The sequence below is a fragment of the Homo sapiens genome, chromosome 7 (genome assembly GCF_000001405.40).
Source record: "Homo sapiens chromosome 7, GRCh38.p14 Primary Assembly".
Taxonomy (NCBI): domain Eukaryota; kingdom Metazoa; phylum Chordata; class Mammalia; order Primates; family Hominidae; genus Homo; species Homo sapiens.
The window spans coordinates 81,528,024-81,550,979 of NC_000007.14; the positions used below are offsets into that span (position 1 = coordinate 81,528,024).

The window sequence follows — 22,956 nt, forward strand, 5'->3', positions numbered from 1 at the left end:
ATTGCTTTTGCCTTTAGGAGACATAGACCACTTTCTGGGTCAGGTCCTTGTTGTACTGAGAATTCCCCCTTGCAGTGTCTTCTGCTGTCCCAGTGTCCCTAGGCAGTGGAGGAGAATCTCAGGCCTATGAGGTTGAAAGGTATCCCAGGGCTGGCCACTTATAGTGGTTGTGTGTCTTTTGCTTGTTCAGCTTACCTGCCTTGTTGTCTCTCTGTAAGAGATCTAGTCGCAAGAGAGCGCTTCTAACAGCTGCTTATTGTTGGTGAAAATCCTGATTAATCCTCAATTTTTTTGGACATTGCTGACATTGTCAGAAGGATTCCCATTCCCTCCTGAGGAGAAATGAGTACTCTGTAGGCTGCCTTCTGTTCCTAGGTTGGGCTCAGGAAATAAAGTCTGGTTTACCTTCTCCTGTTGGGTGGGAAGACGTGAGGTGATATGCCAATATATTGTTCCTCAAATCCTGGGGTTCCAAGAAAGAATATATTCTTCCCATCTTTCAAAGTTCTTCCTGGGTTGCTTCTTGTGTTATTTCCAGGGTTCACAGTTTTGTCTGGCAGGAAAGCAGGGAGAAAATGGACTATGTGATCTTGACTGGAAGTTAACCTGCTCTTATTGAAAAGGTATTTAATAATTAGTCTATTCCTAAAAACTCCAAGACCAGGGAGAAGGCAGAGGTCATAGAACATTATGGACCTTAGGGAGAGAATATTAATTTGCAATTGGTTCCAGGGTTCTTTTTATCTATTTAACTATCTTAACTTTTACAGACATTCACCAAATATTCAATAATCTTTCCTTTCTCTGGAGAAAAGGGAATAAAAAAATCTTTGTTAATTATATTTTTCTTTAAAGTCACAATAAGATTTTCCTTCAAAAAGTTTAATTACACATTATTGTGACAAATGACATATGCTGTGCTTACCAAATTTTTGTGAGACATCTTTATCTCAATATTGTCAGTTTATTTTTGTATGGTACCATAAAATATCTGCTCAACCAGTGAATCTGTCTCAAATGAAATAATGGATCTATGAATTAATCTCATCATTACTGGTTATTTCTGTCATAAGGAGACTATAAAAGGGACATTAATACCCCCCTAGCTTGATGCAGACACTTTTGTGTGCAATCCCACACAATCCTGCTTGGGGCTGCAAAGTAAAAAGAAATTCCACAGAGGGCTGAAAGCAGTGTGGTAATATTCAAATTTTACATAATGTTGTTTGAATTGAAAATAAAGAGGTTACTAAACAGTGCTCAAAGAAATCAGAGATGACACAAACAAATGAAAACAACATTCCATGCTCATGGATAGGAAGAATCAATACTGTTAAAATGTCCATACTGCCCAAAGCAATTTAAAGATTCAGTGCTATTCCTATTAAACTACCAATGACATAAATGACATTCTTCACAAAACTAGAAAAAACCTATTTTAAAATTTATATAGGACCAAAAAAGAGCCCAAATAGCCAAGGCAATCCTAAGCAAAAAGAAAAAAGCTGGAGGCATCATGCTACCTGACTTCAAACTATACTGCAGGGCAACAGTAACCAAAACAGCATGTTACTGGTATAAAAATAGACACATAGACCAATGGAACAGAATAGAGAGCTCATAAATAAGGACATACACCTACAACCATCTGATCTTCCACAAAGGTGACAAAAACAAGCAATGGGGAAAGACTCCCTATTTAATAAATTGTGCTGGGATAACTGGCTAGCCAGATGCGTAAGACTGAATCTGGATCCCTTCCTTATACCATATACAAAAATCTACTCAAGATGGATTAAAGACTGAAATTTAAAACCCATAACTATAAAAACCCTGGAAGACAACCTAGGCAATATTATACTGGACATAGGAAAGAACAAATATTTTGTGATAAAGATAGCAAAACCAATTTCAACAAAAGCAAAACTTGACAAACTTGATCTAATTAAACTAAAAATCGTCCACACAGCAAAATAAACTATCAACAGAGTACACAGGCAGCCTACAGAATGGGAGAAAATATTTGCAAAGTATGCATCTGACGAAGGTCTAATATCCAGCCCCTATAAGAAACTTAAATAAACTTACAAGCAAAAGATAAACAACTCTATTAAGAAGTGCATAAAGGACATGAACAGACACTTCTCAAAAGAAGACATACAAGCAGCCAACAAACACTGAAAAACTGCCAATATCACTGATCATTAGAGGAATGCAAATCAAAACCACAATGAGATATCATCTCACACCAGTCAGAATGGCTATTATTAAAAGTCAAAAAAATAACAGATGCTGATGAGGTTCCCGAGAAAAGGGAACATTTATATACTGCTGGTAGGAGTGTAAATTAGTTCAGCCATTGTGGAAATAAGTGGGGCAATTTCTCAAAGAACTTAAAACAGAATTACCATTTAACCCAGCAATCCCATTACTGGGTATATACCCAAAATAATATAAATCATCCTACTATAAAGAAACATGCACACATACGTTTATTGCAGCACTAATCACAATAGCAAAGACATGGAATCAACCTAAATGCCCTTCAATGGTAGACTGGATAAATAAATGTGGTACATATATACCACAGAATACTACGCAGCTATAAAAAAGAATGAGATTATGTCCTTTGCAGCAACATGGATAGAGGTGGAGGCCATCATTCTAAGCAAACTAACACAGGAACAGAAAACCAAGTAACACATGTCATCACTTATGAGTGGAAGCTGAACAATGAGAACACAAGAATACCAGGAGAAGAATAACAAACACTGGGGCTTACTTGAGGATGGAGTGTAGGATGAAGGAGCGGATCAGAAAAACAATCTATCAGATACTATGCTTATTACCTGGGTGACAAAATTATAGGTATGCCAAACTCCCATGACACACAGTTTACCTATTGTAACAAATTTGCTCATATACCCTTAACCTAAAATAAAAGGTAAAAAAAGAAAAGAAAAGAAAGGAGTTTGAAATTAATATATGCCTAATTATGAGGTTTTTCCTGCCCCCATTGTTTCATTCTTCTACCTGCCTTCAAGATATCATTATCATACCCTAAAATCCTTGACTTGACTACTACACAATGTGTGTCTGTAACAGAATTGCACATATACTGCATACATTTGTACAAATTTAAAAATAATACCATCATCAAATATAACCTTCATCCTGAAACGAGTATTCAATATTGTCTTGCTTTGTTTTAACTTTATAACTTTACAAAGTGTCTATAATGATGTTTGTAATCTTTTGGTACTCGAATTATTAGCCTAATCTTCCCCTTTAATTAAGTCATTAAAAAAAATGAATGGCGTATTGCTAGGTCCCATGCATATTGCTGGGTGTTATTACTGGTCATTTCACCATAATTTCTTCATTTTGACAACTGCATTGCTATTTACCATTGTTTTTACACAACATCAAGATCTTGGGTATTATTTTGTATGGTAGGTGCTAATTTTTAATAAAAATGACTTATCTAATGAAAGAAGGCCATAGCATAACAATGATGACAGTGAGTCATGAATGTCCAATTTTGTGTACTTGAAGTCAACTTTATGAATTAAATGAAAATGTCCTTTCAGGCTTTTGTTTCCAAAAATCTGGCAGAAGCCTCTTTGTATTATTCAGAATTTTTCAGAGAAACAGAACCAATAGGAGATGGGTGGGTAGGTAGATAGATAGAGAATTGGCTCACATAATTATGAGAGGCTGGAAAGTCCCACCGTCTGCTGCCTGTAAGCTGGAGAACTAGGAAAACTAGTGATATAAGTCAGTCTCCGACCAAAGGCATGAGAACCAGGGTTGAGGGGATGGGGTGGAAATCTGCTGGTATAAGTCTCAGAGTCTGAAGGTCTAAGAAACAGGAGATCTGATGTCCAAGGTCAGGAGAAGATGGATGTCCCAGCTCAAGAAAAGAGCAAGATTTGCCCTTTCTCTACCTTTTTTTCTGCTCCGGCCCTCAGTGAATTGGATGACATTCACCCACATCAACAAAGGCAGACCTTTACTCAATCTACGGATTTGAATGCTAATCTATTCCAGCAACACCTTCACAAACACACCCAGAAATAATGATTTACCAGCTATCTGGGCATCTCTTCAACCAGTCAAGTTGACAGATAAAATTAATTATCACAATCTTCTATTACAAAATACCTGAAATGATAAATCTGAGCGTACAGAATTGAATTTACAGGATAGAAGGGGAAGTTTATAGATGTCACCCATGGAGAAGAAACTGAAAGCCAGAGCAACAAGAGTGCAAACTCACTTTGCAAGGACACTAGAGGCTCAATTTGGGCAGCTTTGCACATGGCCCAAACGGTAAAAAGGCTTGCCATTTATGGTTTGCTCAGGGATTATGGGACGCTAGGCATTGAGACTGTGTGAGAAAAGAAGTTAAAACTGGAAAGTCTGTGCAGAGTCACAAGTCATGAAAGCTGGTACTCTCACTGGGACTAGAACTACATACATTCCACAGCAAGAAAGATTTCTCAGCCCAGAGATCTGGTAAGGAAAATCAAAAGTTCATTTAGATAAATTAAAGTCACAAACTTGTGTTTGTTCTGGTACAGAGTTCAAATTTACCTTATTTTCATACTGTGGAAATCCTGATGAAAAGATTAATAAAAAATTTGATTCAGAGTACACGGTATTCACAGAGTGCAAGACAGAAATAAAGGCAAATTTGTTCTAGAGGGATAATTTTATGAGCTAAAAACAATGGGCTTTTTATTTTTAAAAATCCCTATAAGCGCGCAAAATGGTAAAACAGAAGTAATCTTCCAGGAAATAATAGGACTACCTAAAATAGACAATAAATATAAGTATATTTGAATTATACTTATTTTATATTAAGTAAAATTTTAAATATTATAAACCACAAGCAAAGCATAAGGCTATATGAAAAATATAAGATTTGATCAAATGTCATTATTCCTGCCTTATAATTTGGAAATTATAGTAAACACCATGTAACAAATATTTTTATGTAAGGACAGACTTTATGTTAATTATAGTTTATGATCTCACTATTGAACTCTACTCTGCCTTAATAATTATAAACAAATGCAATAAGTAATTTCCCAAATACAGACAATATGGCCTGTCAAGTATCCCTACATAGTGGGAGGCTCTCTACAACTTAGGCAAGATAAATTTGCTACCATTCAACAGCTTTATTTGAAGGAAAACAAACACTAATCTGAACTACCATATAATACAGGAACCAATGAAAGTAATGGAAAGTAATGATCTCTTTCTCTCTCTTTTGAAAATGGGTTTAGTTTGCAAGTAACAAGTCAGGGTAGCCATTTGTACAAAGGTTTGCTAAGAAAACCAGAAATGGTACTTGAATTATTACTCAAATCCTCCCTTTTAATTCGGTTGTACTTTTTGGAAATTAGTTTGAAAGACTGGAATATATCCCTTAACTGGCATAATGGGATTCAAAAATCATTCCTTTATTATGTTTTTCTCCTTAGTTTATGGGATCAATTTTCCATATGGCATTTGTAGTACTTACAGGAAAGTTTGTATTTTGGCTTTCTCCCTGGTAAAACACATGTTCTTGAGTTCTTGGAATCTGATTGAACATCCTCTGTCTCAGAGGATGCCCAAAGGCTATTTTTATGCTATCTCTGGGGTTTATACATACACAGCCTCCAGCCACAGGCTGGACTTTAATTACTTTAACTTAGGAGGGCTTTCCAGCTGAGGAATTCTGGGTGGGCATGGACATAATTTCCCTTTGTCTCTTTTTCCCCCTCATACAGACTCTTCTTTTTAAACAAAATAAAAAAGTAATAATAATGCTTCCCACCCTTGCTTTCATCCTGGCTTCTAAGATTTGCTGCATTAGAAAAACACGAGTAAAGTAGTAAGGATTAAACAACATCATTAAAAATCTAAGCAAATTCATATTCAGGTTCAAACAAATAACAAAAATAAATCTAACATCCTTCTGGCTTTATTTCTGCATTTTCTTGTTTGGGCCAAAGAAGAAAAGAGAAAACTGAGAAAGAAAACTTGCATGTGTATATGTATCCAATGTTGTTGTCATCCTAATGTTCAGAATCTCATGAGAAATCTGTTTCCCTTGCAAGTGCAGTTTTCTGTCTGACACACAGCACTAATATATTAAGATGGTATGAATGTTGACAGAAAGCAAAATGGCACTGAAGCCAACACAAAAGTCTCTGCTAAATCATAATCTGGAATTTCCTTTGTTATGGTCTGGCAAATTTCCCACTATCAAACTGGAGTAAAAATATAATACTACTGGGGATTAACCAGTATTAATTTGTCCAAATCTTTTCCATGCCCCTTAAGTTTCCAATACTATTTATTTATATTCAGCACATGGCCTTGTCTACTTTAATGAATTAATACAGGGCATTCCAGATTAAATCCCCTAATTTTTATCCCCTAACATAAAATTTCAATGACCGTTTGTCCATTTAAAAAAAAATACCATGTATCTATCATACTTTACCTTTTACAGGCACAATTTATCAAGTAAGCCTCATAATCGCTCTAGGAGTTAGATGAGAAACAAAACATTGTTCCTATCTGATGAGTAAGAGAACAGAGACTCTGAGTAGTAAATGGCTTGGCTAAGTCACCAGCCTGGTGAATGAGCAAACAGGTGCCAGCCACAGGCTTCTGCCTACCAGCCTACACATTCTTGAGTCAGAATTTGGGGTTCAAATTTTGTCTCCATGGCAGTTCCTAGACAAGGAACCTCACAGTTACTTTCTTGTAAAATAGAAATGAAACCTTTTTATCGTTTATATTTTTGTAAGAATTAAAGGATATGTTCTATACAAAGTATTTAGAACAGCAACTATATGGTATGTTGTTAATAAATATAATTGTTTTTATTTTTTCCTAAGAAATAATTTTTTCATCGCTTTGTAACCTTAGTACCCCTACTTATATTCTTTTTCTCATTATAGTCTATAAATATCCTTCCTCCTTTAAATATTGTAACTTACTCTCTACCTCAGATCTTTTCTGTCTACCAACATTTTCAGGATTCTTTATTATACATGCAAAAATGAACATTGTTACTCTAAGTATCATCTTTTTTTTTATCCTCTACTGACTCAATTTTTTTCTCTCAAAGAACCATGCATGAATCATGTAACTTTCCAGCTGGAAATGACCTTCCAAGTCATCATCTTTGTTTCACTGATTAGGCACATAGACCACAGAGAAGTTACCTCTTTGTGCAAGAAAAAAGGCACCACCTAAAAAGTAGAATGAAGCCTTGAAACCTAGTCAGGTCTCCTGATGGGAGGGAACAGTGTACTCTTTCACACTCCCACACTCGTTCTGCCTCCACTTATACACTCAATTATCCATCAATTTTTGCCTTTTGGATTTTAGCTCCACTACTCTTCTAAAAAAATAGTAACTTTTGGCTCACTCTCTTCAGAATATAAAACCCTTGACTTCCTTTTACACCTCCAGTTTGCAATAGAATGCACAAAGTTGAATTTACATTTTAGTTCTGATATGCACAGGAGGCAAGAGGGCGGGGTCCCTGGTGAGGGCTCCACCCTCAAGCCTGGAAACCCACGGCCCTAAATAAGAACAGGCATTCCTGTTTTCATGTCCAAATGTTGCCTTTTCCAAGACCACTCTGGCCCACCACACCCCTATCCTGTACCCATATAAACCCCAAGCTCCACTGGCAGAGCAGCAGAGCGGCACAGCAGAGAAGGAGAGAAAAAACAAAGAGCTGAACGTGGAGAGGCGAAGAGGCAACTGAATGTCAGAGACTGTGGATAGACGTGGCTTAACTTCAGACAACACGATTTTGGAGAGAAGCCCGGCCGGAGGCAACCAGGCTTCAGGAAAAGATTATCTTCCCACTCCATCCCCTTTCCTGCTCCCCATCCCACTGAGAGCCACCTCCATCACTCAATAAAACCTCAGCATTCACTTTCCTTCAAGTCTGAGTGACCTGATTCTTCCTGGATCCTGGACAAGGACCCAGGTAACAAGAGGGTAGGGTGAAAAAGGCTGTCACCCTGACTCTCCACTGAGCTGGTTAACACTTAGCTGCCCATGGATGGCAACTGCTAAAAGAGCACTGTATCACCCCTAGACACTGCCATGGGGCCGGAGCCCAAAGTGCTTGCCCTGGCTCCAGCACCTGCTCACCTGTGTGCTCTCCCTCCCATAAGGGGTTTGAGTTAGAAGCAGCCGAGCAAATGAGCCACACCCCTGTCACAAGTCTCTCTAAGGGGTTAGGGAACTCTCCCATTTCAGTTCTTCTGTTAAAATGTACCAAATTTTTAATTCTTATATTACCTACTAGAAATGCTCTACCAAACTCTAATTTCACCCTCTTTTCTCAAATGCACTTCCACCTTTGGTGACTGAGTTCTCTCATTTGGCTTCAATCATAACATCACTGTAAAATCATTTTATAAAACTGATTAATCAATTTAATGTATATTTTTTGAACTCCAACTATGAGACAGGCCCTATGCCACAATAGAAACTTTACAGGCTAGTGGGATTCACTGGTGTGCTGGTACTTAACAACTGACTCAACCCCTTCTCCAAAGAAAAAGAAGTCTGTAATCCATAGAGTTTGCCAAATTCCATGATGTAAATATTTTAAAAATGTTTAAGCTACCAAGGTGTTACTAAATGAAATGTTGGGAAGAGACACTAATAACAAACATTTGCAATCCAGTATGAGCTCTTTCTAACATGCCAGTGAACTTGTGAATATTCAATGGAAAAATCCAAGTAAACATATATTTATAAACTTCATAAATGCTGAGTCTAACTTGGACTTCTTTCACAAGTATTTGCAAAGAACCTAGGTTAATTTTCCATTACAGACCCCCAAATCCTCACAATATTCATCATACATTTCTTTTTCCCTTTGCAGAAAAAAACGCACTAAAAGTGTTACTACAGATATTACTGAAAAGGAGCCATTCTTTGATCTGTGTGCACCTTTTAAAAAAATTATTAAACTTCATTTGTTAGAGCAGTTTTGGGTTCATTGAGCAGAAAGTAGAGAGTTACCATATACTTCCTCTTCCCATACATGCACAACCTCCCCACTATGGATATACTGCACCACAATGGGACATTTGTTGTAATCAATGAACTACATTGACACATCATTACCAACTAAAGTTTATAATTTACATTAGGGTTTACTCTTGGTGTTGTATGTTGTATGGTTTGGGGCAAAAATATGACATGTATCCACCATTGTAGTATCATACAAAATCCACTGCCTAAAAATCCTGTGTTCTCCCAAGCTAAATCATTCCTTCTTCTCCCAAACCCCAGAAACCACTGATATTTTTACTATATTTATAGTTTTGAATTTTTCAGAACATTATATAATTGGAATCATATAGTGTGTGGCCTTTTCAGACAGGCTCTTTTCACTTAATAATATGCTTTTATGTTTCCTCCTTATCTTTTCATGGCTTGACAACTAATTTCTTTTCAGTACTGAATAAAATTCCAATGTCTAGATGTACCACAGTATATTTATATATTCACCTACTGAAGGCCATTTTGGCTGCTTCCTCATGTTGGCAGTTATGAATAAAGCAACAGCAAATATTTGTATACAGGTGTTGTATTGACATACGTTTTTAAGTCATTTGGATAAAATACCAAGGAGCACGATTGCCAGATCATACAGTAAGAGTATGTAAGAAACTACTGCACTCTTCCAAAGTGGCTGCATTGTTTTGCATTCCCAGAGCAATGAATAAGGGTTCCTGCTGCTCCACATACTCACCAGCATTTGGTGTTGTCAGTGTATTAGAATACTTTTCATCATTCTAATAGGTTTGTCATGATATTTTATTACTGCTTCAATTTGTAATTCCCTAAAGATACATGATATTGAACATCTTTGCATATGGTTACTTGCCATCTATCTATCTTCTTTGGTGAATTACCTGCTCAGTCCTTTCCTCATTTTTTATTCTGGTTGCTTGTTTTCTTATTGTTGATTTTTAAAAGTTCTTTATATATTTTGAATAACAGTCTTTTGTCAGGCATGTCTTTTACAAATACTTTCTCTCACTGTGAGTTTTCTTCACTTACTTTTGATATTGTAATTCATAGTAAAGGGAAATTTGATCTTAATGAAGTCCAGATGATCAATTCTTTATCTTCATGTATCATTCCTTTCATGTTGTATAATATCTAAAAAGTCAGTCCCATCCCAAAGTCCTCTAGGTTTACTTCTATGTTATCTTCTAGGAGTTTTACAGTTTTGCATTATATATTTAGAGGTATGATCCATCCTTAATTTTTTGAGGAAAGGCATAAGGTCATTGTCTCGGTTCATTCCTTTGCATGTGAATTTCTGGTTGTTTCAGCATCATTTGTTAAAAAGGCTATCTTTGTATTGCTTTTGTCAAACGTCAGTTGACTATATTATGTGGGTCTATTTCTCGACTGTCTATTCTGTTCTGTTATTCTGTCGTATATTCTTTCACCAGTACCACACTGTCTTGATTACTGTAGATTTATAGTAAATTTTGAAGTCCCATGGTAGTATCAATCTTCTTTCTTCTCCAGTAGTGTGTTGAAAATTCTGGGCCTTTTTCCTCTCCAAATAAACTTTAGAATCAGTTTGTCAATATTCACAAGATAAATTGCTGGGCTTTTGACTGAGATAGCATTGAATCTATAGATCAAGTTGAGAAGAACTGGCATCTTAAAAATTTTGAGTCTTCTATCAATGAACATGGAACAACTCTCCATGTAGTTTTTCTTCAATTTTTTTAGAGTCAGTTTTGTAGTTTTCCTCATATACATCTTATACATATTTTGTTAGATTTATACCTAAGTATTTCATTTTTAAGGGTGCTAATGTAAATGGTATTGTAGTTTTAATGTCAATTTCTACCTGTTTGCTGCTGATATATAAAAGAAAGCAATTGACTTTAATATATTAAACTAGGCTTGGCGCGGTGACTCACACCTGTAATCCCAGCACTTTGGGAGGCTGAGGTGGCCGGATCACGAGGTCAGGAGATCAAGACCATCCTGGCTAACACAGTGAAATCCCGTCTCTACTAAAAATACAAAAAAAAATTAGCCGGGCGTGGCGGCGGGTGCTCGTAGTCCCAGCTACTTGGGAGGCTGAGACAGGAGAATGGTGTGAACCCGGGAGGCAGAGCTTGCAGTGAGCCGAGATGCACTTCAGGGTGGGCCACAGAGCGAGACTCCATCTCCACATAAATAAATAAATAAATAAATAAATAAATGACATATATATATGTATATGTATATATATGTGTATATATATATGTATATGTATATATATGTGTATATATATATGTATATGTATATATGTGTATATATATATGTATATGTATATATATGTGTGTATATATATATATATATAAAACTAGTATCCTGCAATCTTGCTATAATGGTTTATTAGTTCCAGAAGTTTTTTGTCTATTCTTTTGGGTTTTTTTACATAGAAAAATATGTCATCTGCAAACAAAGACAGTTTTATTTCTTATTTCCCAATCAGTATACTTTTTAATTCCCTTTCTTGTCCTGTTGCCTTATCAATGATGTTGAAAGCAGTAGTATAAGAAGAAATCCTTGCTTTATTCCTGATCTTACCAGGAAATCCTAGTTTTCCACCATTAAATATGATGTTATTTGTAGTTTTCTGTAGATTTTAAAAATCAATTCAAAGAAGCACTCCTCTATTCTTGGTTTGCTTAGAGATTTTTATCATGAATTAGGGTGGATTTTATCAAATGCTTTTACTGCATCTATTGATGTGCTCCTGGTATTTTTCTACTTCAGCCTGGGGATTTGATGGATTACATTCATTGATTTATATATTTTGAACCAGCCTTGTATACTTTGGATAAACACCAGATCATGACATATAATTATTTCTATAGATTTTTGGATTTGATTTGCAAATATTTTATTGAGGATATCTGCATCTACTTTCATAAGAAATATTGGTCTGTAGTTTTCTGAATAGTGTCTTAGTCTAGTTTTGATATTAGACTAATTCTGGCCGCATGACACCTCTTTAAAATAAATAGATAAATTGTACCTTTTCACAAACAGAACACAAAATTCTTACAAAGTACTTCTGACAGCTTTGTCCAGAAACGGAACCAGCTTGCACTGTTTGTAGTTAAAAACAAGAGAGGTGCCTGCATATTAACATGACTCAAAATAAGCAATACGTTTATGGTTCTATGAAATTACTGCCAATTATTTTTGCCCCAGTGAGGTTACAGCAAGGGTCAGAAAACTTCTGTTTACAAGGAGGCATATGGTTGTGGGTATAATACTTTGGGACAATAGTATCTTCAAAATTTGACAAAAATTTGTTCTTATAAAAGAAAAAAACTTTGTCATTTATTTTATCAGTAGGTAGATTCTAAATGCTTCATAATATTGTTTTGGGTAGAAAACAAAGAAATGCAAAGCAATCATTTGTCTGTTGTCTTTTTTCTTTTCTCCTTTTTTGGGGGGAGAATTAAAATTTGCAGTCTTAAAAGTAAGACCAGTTTCCTTACTTTAAAAGATCTTAATGTTAGTCCGGTATTAACAAGACATTCATCCTGATTTTGATACCTAATTTATAAAGATCCAACCTATTTCTATTTCCTTTTATCTATCTTCAAATTGGTTCCCTTTCACTACTTGAAGCCTGAATCATAATTTCACCTAGGTCCTATTCTATACTTGCATAATCAAGTTCAAAACCTCATATTGATTTTAACTGTTCTTACTCTTTTTTTTTAATCTCAGGATTCATTTAGTTACAAGTTTCACAAACCTGGCCTCTTTAAAATAAATTTTTTCTATCCTCCAGAGCATTTTGCTTGTGACTCCTTTTTGGCCCATTTGCTTTGTACTATAGTTATGTGTAAGTGAATACTAACTTCTCCGATAGACTGTACCTTGAGAGCATATAATTTGGGGATGTTATGTCTATTAAGTTCTAGCCACTGTATTTTTCCTCTTTAAATTTGTTGAACTAAAATATGACATATAAAATAGATACATGTTGTTTTGAAAGTAAATAATTTTTTTGTCTTGAAAAAGACCAATTGAGTGTTAATGTGAATGTAAAAAAATATAAAACAATTAGAAAAGTCAAGTAGATATTGATGGTCTTAATAAGATAAAAAAAGAGGAATCAGGACGTGTCAACCAAAACATTTTGTTTTAGTTCAAATAATTTCAGCAGTAATATCCCTAAAACTAATCCCTAAAGCTGCCATCCAGAACACTGCAACAGATAATTTTTCCAAAATGTTTTATCTGGGCTGGGCGCAGTTGCTCACGCCTGTAATCCCAGCACTTTGGGAGGCTGAGGTGGGCAGATCACAAAGTCAGGAGTTTGAGACCAGCCTGGCCAACACAGTGAAACCCCATCTCTACTAAAAATACAAAAATTAGCTGAGCATGGTGGCAGGCGCCTGTAATCTCAGCTACTCAGGAGGCTAAGGCAGGAGAATTGCTTGTACCTGGGAGGCAGATGTTGCAGTGAACCAAGATCACATTATTGCACTACAGCCTGGGCAACAAAAGCAAAACTCCATCTCATTCAATCAATCAATCAATCAATGTTTTACCTGTCAAAATGTATGCGTAAGTGGTTAGACCGCTCATTAGTACTTAGATAATCTAAGCCATGTTGTTATACTCACAGTTCCCGATCTTATTTTTCATCTCAATTATCTAATTTTTGTACATTATTTCTCAATGCATGTTGTAAGGAGCATTGCTTTCCCAAGATATGCCATAAAAGTTATTCTATGGGCAATGAGTTTGGAAACTATTATAAACTATTACTCCCAATCTTCTCAGAGAAATTCATAGGGCATAAGTATTAAACACCCTGAGAATTTGATCAGAGGATTTAAAAAATTGAAATTATTGATCTCATACTTTCCTATATATATCTACATTTATCTATCTATCTACCTACCTACTTAACCTATCTACCTACCTACCTGTCTGTCTGTCTACATTATAATCTAGTTCTACTTTGATTAATGTTACTGAATTCTGGCCAGGTTTCCCAAATAACCTTTACAAAAAAGTATGCTTATCATATTAAGTAGGTAAATGCACATGACAGTGTAAAAATTAGAGAGAATTTCAGTCTCTCTATGAAACCATTCAAAGTCGAGTAAAACTCAAGTAGTGATTGTAACAGCTAAAACAATAATAAATACTAAAATGTATTCACTATGTCCCTGGCACTGTGAGGGATTCAAATTTTTATTTAATCATCTGCCAAACCCTTTGAGTAAGTATTCTTAGCAGATGTCACTTGTGAGTAAACTGAGGCCCACAGAGTTAAGTAACTTTCTTAAGTTATTCAGTCCATAAGGAAAAAATGGGAATGTCTGCCAGGTTTACCTAATGCCAGAATCCATGCTTCTAACCATTATTTTAAACTTGCTTTCCAAAATAGAAATTGACTAAGATGACATATGTGATTGCTATGATTTGAATTGAGCCCTTCAAAAATATATGTTCGAGTTTTATCTCCTGATACCTATGAGTTTAATATTTTTTAGAAATATATTCTTTGTGTATGTAATCAAGTTAAGATGAATCATGTTAGAGTAGTGTGTACTCTTAACCCAAAATAATATCCTTATAAGAAGGGGAGAATCAACACAGACAGAGACACACAGGGAGGGCATCATATGACAACAAAGGCAGAGATGACAAAAAAGACAGAGATGGGAGTAATGTGTCTGCAAACTAAGGAATGCCAAGGCCTTCTAGCAACAGCAGATGCTAAGAGAGAGGCATGGAAGAGATTATTCCCTAGCGTGTTCAGAGAGAACATGGCTCTGCTGACACCTTGATTTTAGACTTCTAGCCTGCAGAACTGGAAGGGAATACATTTCTGCTGTTGTAAGCCACCCCCAGTTTGTGTTACTTTGTTACAGCAGCCCTAGAAAACAAACAAAAATAATCAAATACACTCAGTATTTAAAGCTAATAGGATGCACATATTTCTCATATTTTCAGAAATGTTTACAGATCATTAGGAAAGTATTGTTATAGAATATAAATCCCATCCCCAAGATTATAATGCCACGAAAATAATTAAAATTATTTTAAGTTCATGCATCTGAAATAATAATAATAATAGTATGTGAATTATCATTTAGGAAATAAATATACATGCTTTTATTTAAAGATGTGTTATATATGCTTACTTTTTATTAATTTTGCTAAAATTTAAATTAAATAAAAGATTCTGTATTTCTGGTTAATAATGTATTATGGGGAATAAGTCCTGTGATTTATTTTTCCCCCACTTAACAATGGAATAATTTACAGAAGAATTTGAAATTTTCAAGACAGGAAATGCCATTTTATGTCCATTTTTGTCTCTTGGTTTTGTTTAATTATCAAATCTCTCTCTCTCTCTGTAGATACATATATGTATATTATATATATAAATATGCACACGTGCAGATAAACACATATATCTATATGTGAGTATATATTTGTGTGTTTTTTCCAAGAAATACACTGGTTTCTTGTAATGATATATAATACCCTCATATAACATTGAGTCATTAGCCCCAGGTCAATTGTATTCCAGTAAAAATAAAAGATGAGGCCAAATCAGAGACAATGTTCATCTCAAGTAGTTGATTTAATAAATCACTTAATACTGGAATAAAAATGCCAATACAGATAAATTTCAGATTGCACAGATATTTCAATATCATTTTCTGTGATTTTCAAAACACAATATTATCTTTTATTATTGTGGAAGCTGAAATAAATATTTGTTAAAATAAGTAAATATTAAACTTTACCAAGAAACCTCTGGGTTTCCTTATATTTTATCATTTACCAGTACTGCAAAAAATATCAAAGAATTAGAAAAGCACATAGTTTCAAAGAATATTAGCTGGTAAAATTGAAACCTATAATTTTTCCCCAAACCAGTTGCTTATATAAATTTTTACATAATCTTATAACCTAAATAAAACCATGAGAGCATAAAAGAAGTGTCTTGATACTAGAAAAAGATTGCTGTTGCCAGGTGTGGTGGCTCATGCTGGTGATCCCAGCACTTTGGGAGGCTGAGGCAGGCGGATCACAAGGTCAGGAGTTGGAAACCAGCCTGACCAATATGGTGAAACCCCATCTCTACTAAAAAAATACAAAAATTAGCCAGGCATGGTGGCGTGTGCCTGTTATCCCAGCTACTCGGGAGGTTGAGGCAGGACAATTGGTTGAACCCAGGAGGCGGAGGTTGCAGATCACGCCACTGCACTTTAGCCTGGGCAACAGAGCAAGACACTGTCTCAGGAAAAAAAAAAAAAAAAAAAAAACAACAAAAGATTGCTGTTTGCTATAAAAGCATGCAACATAAAGATGGGAAGAAACTTGTGGAAATTCCAACTATTTGGGAAAATCTGACTATCATCCAGGAAATTCTGCATTAGGCAAAATAGACTATACCATGTTGCAGTAACAACTAAAACATGAAATCTGATTCACTTAACTTGGAACAAGGTTAATTCTTCCCTATCGCAATAAAACATGTTAAGAAGCTCACCTTGGAAGAGTTTTCTCAAGGAGTGACTTAGAGATCCAAGTTCCTTTCATCTCATAATGTTTCTGTCTTTAAAAGACGACCTAAAATCACCTTGCAAAGGCAAAGTGGACTTTACACTTGGGTTTTTATTGCAGGCTTGGGAAGGGGCATCTGCTATATCTGAGTCATGTGGCCCCAATCTCACTGAAAAGAAGTCAGAAAATGTAGTATCCCTCTGTACCCATAAAATAAAACAGGATCTGGTAAGCACAAAATAATTTCTCTGTCATTACTTCAACTACATGACTGCAAAGCTGCACGTTTGAGAAAACATCGATAGTCACATTGCTTTTGAATATCAGTGAGGCAAGTCTAAGTTTCTTTTGTGTAAAATGATAGAGAAATATAAGTTTCTCCTAGGTTTTCTCCAGCTCTAGAATTCTCATACTTACTGACAATAAGCACTTAGGCCACAATGCATTTTTTTCTACTCAGAGTTCCTAAGAAATTTACAGATAGATAGATAGATAGATCAATAGATAGATAGATAGATAGATGTGTAGATAGATAGATTGATTTACAGACAGTAATTATGTACTTATTTACTGAATATATACATATATATACATGAAAGAAATTCTATGCTTATTACATAGAGATAAAAGATAACAAGAAAGAATCCTGCCTTCAAGGGCTTAACTACCTCATAAGATAAAGAGTGTTTATTATTATATAAGCCAGAAAGATTTCTGTGACAAAATATAGATGTAAAAAAATCACTGGGACACTGAAAAAGAACAATTAATTTCCAATTTAAATTTCTACTAGAACTGTGATGGGTTTTTTCCTTCTTCTTCTTTTGTTTCCTTCAGCTTGCATTTTTCAAAATTTTTTTCTCAAAGTGTGATCTCACATCTTATAAATAAAATCTGTAGTAGGTTAGTTCTTTATGCTATATTTTTAAAATTTTTAAGTTATGCCATATTTAGTGCATGCAAGAAATTGATTTACAGTTTCAGTTTTATATTAACATAAACAAGTTACGAAACATTATGCTTTTTAAAAATATCCAAGCTTAGTGATTTTTATGCTGAGGCTTTTATTCCATAATCTGCAAAAAATTAGAATATTTTTGAAGTGTTTATCAGTCACACTTAAGTGGTTTCTAGTTTTTGTTTTGATGAGGCAATGACGAAAATCCAATCTTAACTATGTACAAGCAAAAGAACAACAATTTTCATCACTTTCTTCTCCAGCTATGGAAATGTTTCTAGTTTATTCATTTATGGAACACTTGTATAGTGCTTATTACTATGAGCCACTCAGTACTTTACAAATATTTGCTTTTAAAAACCTCATGTCTACCTTCAGGGGTAGGCACTACTATTATCACCATTTTACAATGAGGAATCAAGTTAAGAAAGGTTCAATAACTTGCCCAGCTTCACAAAAAACCTTAAGTGGTGAACCTGGGATTCTTAGCCAAGCATTCTGGCTGAAGAATCTCTGCTCTAAACATCATGCAGTGGTATAAAAGAAATTTGGCAACATCATTGTCACTAAATACATGTGCATATAGTTAATGGCTCTAGCGGTTAGTAGGCATCCAGGTTAAAGATGAATAGATTCAGTATCCATTTATTTTTATTTTTTTGGCATGAAAAGCTTTCCAAGAGAAAAATAGCCACAGACAGACATTCAGCTCTTGGTAATGCCTTCATGCTTCAGATGGTCATTTCTGAATTTTCTAACATCTCTCTGTTAGAAAGCAAAATTCTTAAAATTTCTTTTCCAAAGAGGCAATTTTCTTATAAAACTAGATAAATTTAATGGGGTTGTTGCCATGTACTTTCAGACTAGTTCCTTAAAACAGCAGTCAGTTTTAAGAATTTGACTATTCATAAACACATTCAAAGAAAGACAAACATTAATTTATATCATTGACTCTATTAGTATTTTTAGAGGTAAAAGAAATAGCTTATATTTTTACATGTCCAGTTTAAAGCACTATACTCCTTTTAGTGTTTACAAATAAAGGGCATGTGTTTGGTAACAGTTTCTTTAAAAGAATCACTGAAGTGACAGTGATTATTTAGAAAATATGCTCTAAGAAAATTTATCATGCTCTTTGCAGGAGACAAAAGAGCCTTCCATTTTTTTTAATCCAAATTCTTGTCAGCAAGTACATGATGGGGTAATAGACAATATATGATTATGCTACTTTTTTATATATCAGTAAAGATATTCTTAATTTTTCTTCAGATCTAGGCAGGAGCATTATCGGTGAATATTGATTTACTTACCTTGTGTGTTACAGATACAAAAATTTTGTCTTTGATTAGATAAATGTACATTTCCTTGCAGTTATTTTCTTTGTTTCACAAGAAAGGCCTCCTTCTATGTGCTTTTCCTAATTTACATAAGGTACAACACTGATAGCCAAGAGAAGCCACCAAGGTCACACCCATTTAAAAGGACAAGTTTTTATAACTTTGTAAAAACTTGTTTCAGGTATCAGGACTCAACTCACAAATTATGATTTGATAAGAAAATCTGTTGAAACTTCTTCAGCTCATCTGGTCTCAGAACTATTTTTCAATTTTCCAATAAATTGTTTTTCTCACTTTTTACAAATAACGTGAGGCTCCTTGTCTTGTAACAATGCAACTTGGTTGGATGCTTCTAGTAACAAGTTCTCAACCGACACAATACTAAATGACCTACAGCTTATTTTATTACAATAAATAGTGCCCTTGTAAATATCAGGACCACATTTAATTTTCACTAATGAGCACTTTGTTGAAATATTCAGAATGCCTTGGTGATTTGAAACTAGGTACAATGTAAACATTGTAGTCACTAATTTCTAATCATTGTCATTGCAAAAATGATCTATAAAAAGTTATTTTTTCATATTTCTTTTACAAAAGGTATACTCAAATATGCCAATACTACCTAGAGCTTCTGTGCAGATTTATTGTGAAGTAAACACCATAACATATGTTAATAATTAGCATCTCAATAACAATTAGCAGCTCACTAATATAAAATAAAGCCACAACACTGTCATATTATCATCTGTACTGAAGTCAGAAATAAATCTCACAACAGGAGGAAGTAAACAATACCTGTTCACGAAGTCAACTTACAAAAGTACACTAGCCTGTGCATTGTACCCAGGTTCAAAGCCACTTCTCCCCAGTCATTTCGGGTTACAGCCAGTGAAATGGGTGTGAAATAGCTGTGCATTGGTCTGTAAGTTATGGCTGTTTTCTAAGAGTTCGTAATTTTAGATTCTGAGCCCATTTTCTGCCAAATTTTTTTCTTCAGGAATTTTCTGCTGCTTAGGTGGATGTTAGGCCTCTCTAGGGAAGCTTTGCTTTTGTTTCTGCCAGGAATTCCTCACAATAAAACACCAAGACCCCTTTCCTTTTAACGTCTTGTCTGGGTTTTCCAATAATTTGCAGTGTGCATAATTCAAACCCAATATATTTCCTTTACATTTTGGAGGACGCGTTTTCCCCTTAATTCAGAGCCTAGGCCTAGATGGGCAAACTTTCTTATTGTCTACTCCAGGCTAGCGTGTGAAGGTGTCCTTTCCAAGTTTTCATCCTGAAGGACCTCTTATTTTATGAGGTTCCAACTGCCTGCCCTTATTGCTCCCAAAGTTTTACTTCCTGTTTCCAAGTGGCTGTGAAACCTAAACCTCTTCTTTACAGAGAAGATGCTCTCAGGGCACTTGGCATCATTGAGGAGCCTCTGTTTTTGGCCCCTGAAATATCCCCTAATTTTTTTTGAGGTCACATTTCCACATTAAAGGCTAGTTATATTCTATCATACATTTCCAGGTGTTTTGTGCCAGGAAATTCTTTGGAATATTTACCTTCTAGGTGAAAATGGAAATAAATTGTAAATCGTGTAAATTGTAATACTGCTGATTATGGTGCTCCTGGTGGGGCAGGAAAATAGGGTCTGGAGGCAGGGAACATAAGGCCAATTCACACTTCAGCTATGACAGGAAATATCCTCTCCACAGGGCGAAGGCCAAGTAAATGACTTTGTAACTTTACTTCATCCTCTTCATTTACATAGGGCATACCCCCAAGTAGAGGGTAGTTAAACGCCCCAAAATTCTGTAACAAGGCCTTTGAGCCCCTATGCTCAGGCCTGCTCCCACACTGTGGAGTGTACTTTTCTTTTGAGACAGAGTCTTGCTCTGTCGCCAGGCTAGAGTGCTGAGGTGCGATCTCGGCTCACTGCAACCTCCAACTCCCTGGTTCAAGGGATTCTCCTGCCTCCGCCTCCCAAGTAGCTGGGATTACAGGCATGCGCCACCATGCCCGCCTAATTTTTGTATTTTTAGTAGAGATGGGGTTTCACTATGTTGGCCAAGATGGTCTCGATCTCCTGACCTCGTGATCCGCCCACCTTGGCCTCCCAAAATGCTGGGATTACAGGCGTGAGCCACCATGCCCGGCCTGGAGTGTACTTTCATTTTCAATAAAACCTTTCCTTCCTTCCTCGCTCTGTTTGTGCGTTTTGTTCAATTCTTTGCTCAAGAAACCAGGAATCTGGACACCCTCCACTGTTAACATATTTTGGAGAGCCAGCCAGGAGGAAGAGGTTAGCCCAAAGTTTGGGATTTATTTTTCTCCTTTCTCCTTTTCCTTTCTGCTCCATACAGGGGAATTTCTCTTTCTCTTTCTCTCTTTCTCTCTCCCTCTCTGTCTGTCTCTGTCTCTGTCTCTCTCTCTCTTTTCCTTTCCAACCGGGGATCCTTGGTGGGCAGCGCCTAAACATGGAAGCAACTGCAGGTTTCTGGCCATGGCCAGTGAAACTAAGGGGTTTCCATGCGGAGACGCCTAACTGCCAACACCAGGTTTGCTTAAGGAATCTGGGTCTGTTTGATTTTTGTTTCCTTTCTTTTTCAGTCTTTCAGTGGCTGTTTATAATTGCTCTGCCCCATAGGGGAAAGGACTTTTTAAAAAATCTTTTCTGCAGGTGTTCCCCGATCCCTGCGTGTGGTGCACCTCAGAGCAAACTCACACATGTTTCAGGGGACTTAAACATTCTTTTCTTATGCTAAATTCTTCCCTTGTCATACTCAACTGGCTAAGGACAAAAAGGCCCACCTGGCACCCAGTTCTCATTACAGTTCATGGCTATTCTTACAAAGCTCATAGTATGCTCTGGAGGGGAAAACCGGCACTCGCCGCTGGTGCCCACCTAAGGTCAGATTGGACCCCACAGGAGGACCGTCCGGGGGGCCTGCAGACCTCAACCTTCCCCAAGGGGATGCTCTCTGCTCTCCGCAGAGGTTCTGAGGTCTAGTACTAAGCCCTCCTTAGGATTTTCTCTCATAGTTGCAATGCTGTTTGGCCCCAACATTGTTTGGAATCTGGAGTTTACTGTTGAATGGGAAAGCAGAATGGCATTGCATGTATCCACGCTTTTGTTCTGCGGTTCTAAGCAGGGGGACTGATTAATGTGTGACACCCCCCTTTGGTACTGTTTGGCACCAGGGCTCTTTGGAGTCTGGAGAGGTTTGGCCTTTAAGAATCAAACTGCCAGGCCAGGTGCGGTGGCTCACACCTGTAATCCCAGCACTTTGAGAGGCCGAGGCGATGGATCATGAGGTCAGGAGCTCAAGACCAGCCTGGTCAACATGGTGAAACCCCATCTCTACTAAAAATACAAAAAAATTAGCTGGGCATGGTGAAGCATGCCTATAATCCCAGCTACTTGGGAGGCTGAGACAGGAGAATTGTTTGAACCGGGATTGGGAGGTGGAGGTTGCAGTGAGCCGAGATCATGCCACTGCACTCTAACCTGGGCTACGGAGTGAGACTCTGTCTCAAAAAAAAAAAAAAAAAGAAAAGAAAAAGAAAAATCAAACTGCTATGGAGACTGCTTTACCCAAAAGTTTGGTTCACAGCCTTTATTGGATTATCTACTGGGGCAAAGAAGTAAAACCAGCAAGCTTTTATTGCTATCTCATGGCTAAGGTTCCAAGCCATTGGATCTTCATTTGTGTGTGCATACATGTCTAGAAGTGTTTATTTGTATGTACACTTATTGTTATATGTTTTACCAAAATTGGCTTATAAGTAAAAGAACGCTCATAAATTAAGTAAATAAGTGTAAGCAGTTTTCAAGTTCACGTGACTTAAAGTGTAACTTTACTAAACAAGCTAGCTTTAAAATTATGGGTGGAATAAAAATAGAAATGCCATCAGAATTGTCAGTATACATTTTTGTCTGAATTTTATGTTTGTCTTTGCTAGATATTTTAAAATGTCAGTGTTAATTCAAGCTGGGAGCTGCTTGGGGAAAGCCTGCCTCCCATTCTATTCAAAGTCTCACTGAGATAA

General features: G+C 36.1%; 1 long non-coding RNA gene across 1 annotated transcript in view, besides 1 other annotated feature; it reads right to left on the minus strand.

The window, feature by feature from the left end:
* LOC105369146 (uncharacterized) overlaps positions 1 to 22,956 on the minus strand; it is a 46,073-nt gene that overhangs the window by 12,277 nt on the left and 10,840 nt on the right. The window contains exon 4 of the long non-coding RNA NR_136264.1: positions 406 to 553. This is a non-coding gene — a long non-coding RNA (uncharacterized LOC105369146). The remainder of the gene's footprint in view (positions 1 to 405; positions 554 to 22,956) is intronic.
* Positions 21,539 to 22,103: an enhancer, noted in NCBI's record as "OCT4-NANOG-H3K27ac hESC enhancer chr7:81178878-81179442 (GRCh37/hg19 assembly coordinates)". NCBI's record gives its function as "activates a minimal SCP1, AML or CMV promoter by ChIP-STARR-seq in primed H9 embryonic stem cells {active_cell/tissue: H9 hESC(primed)}" and the evidence as "EXISTENCE:reporter gene assay evidence [ECO:0000049][PMID:30033119]".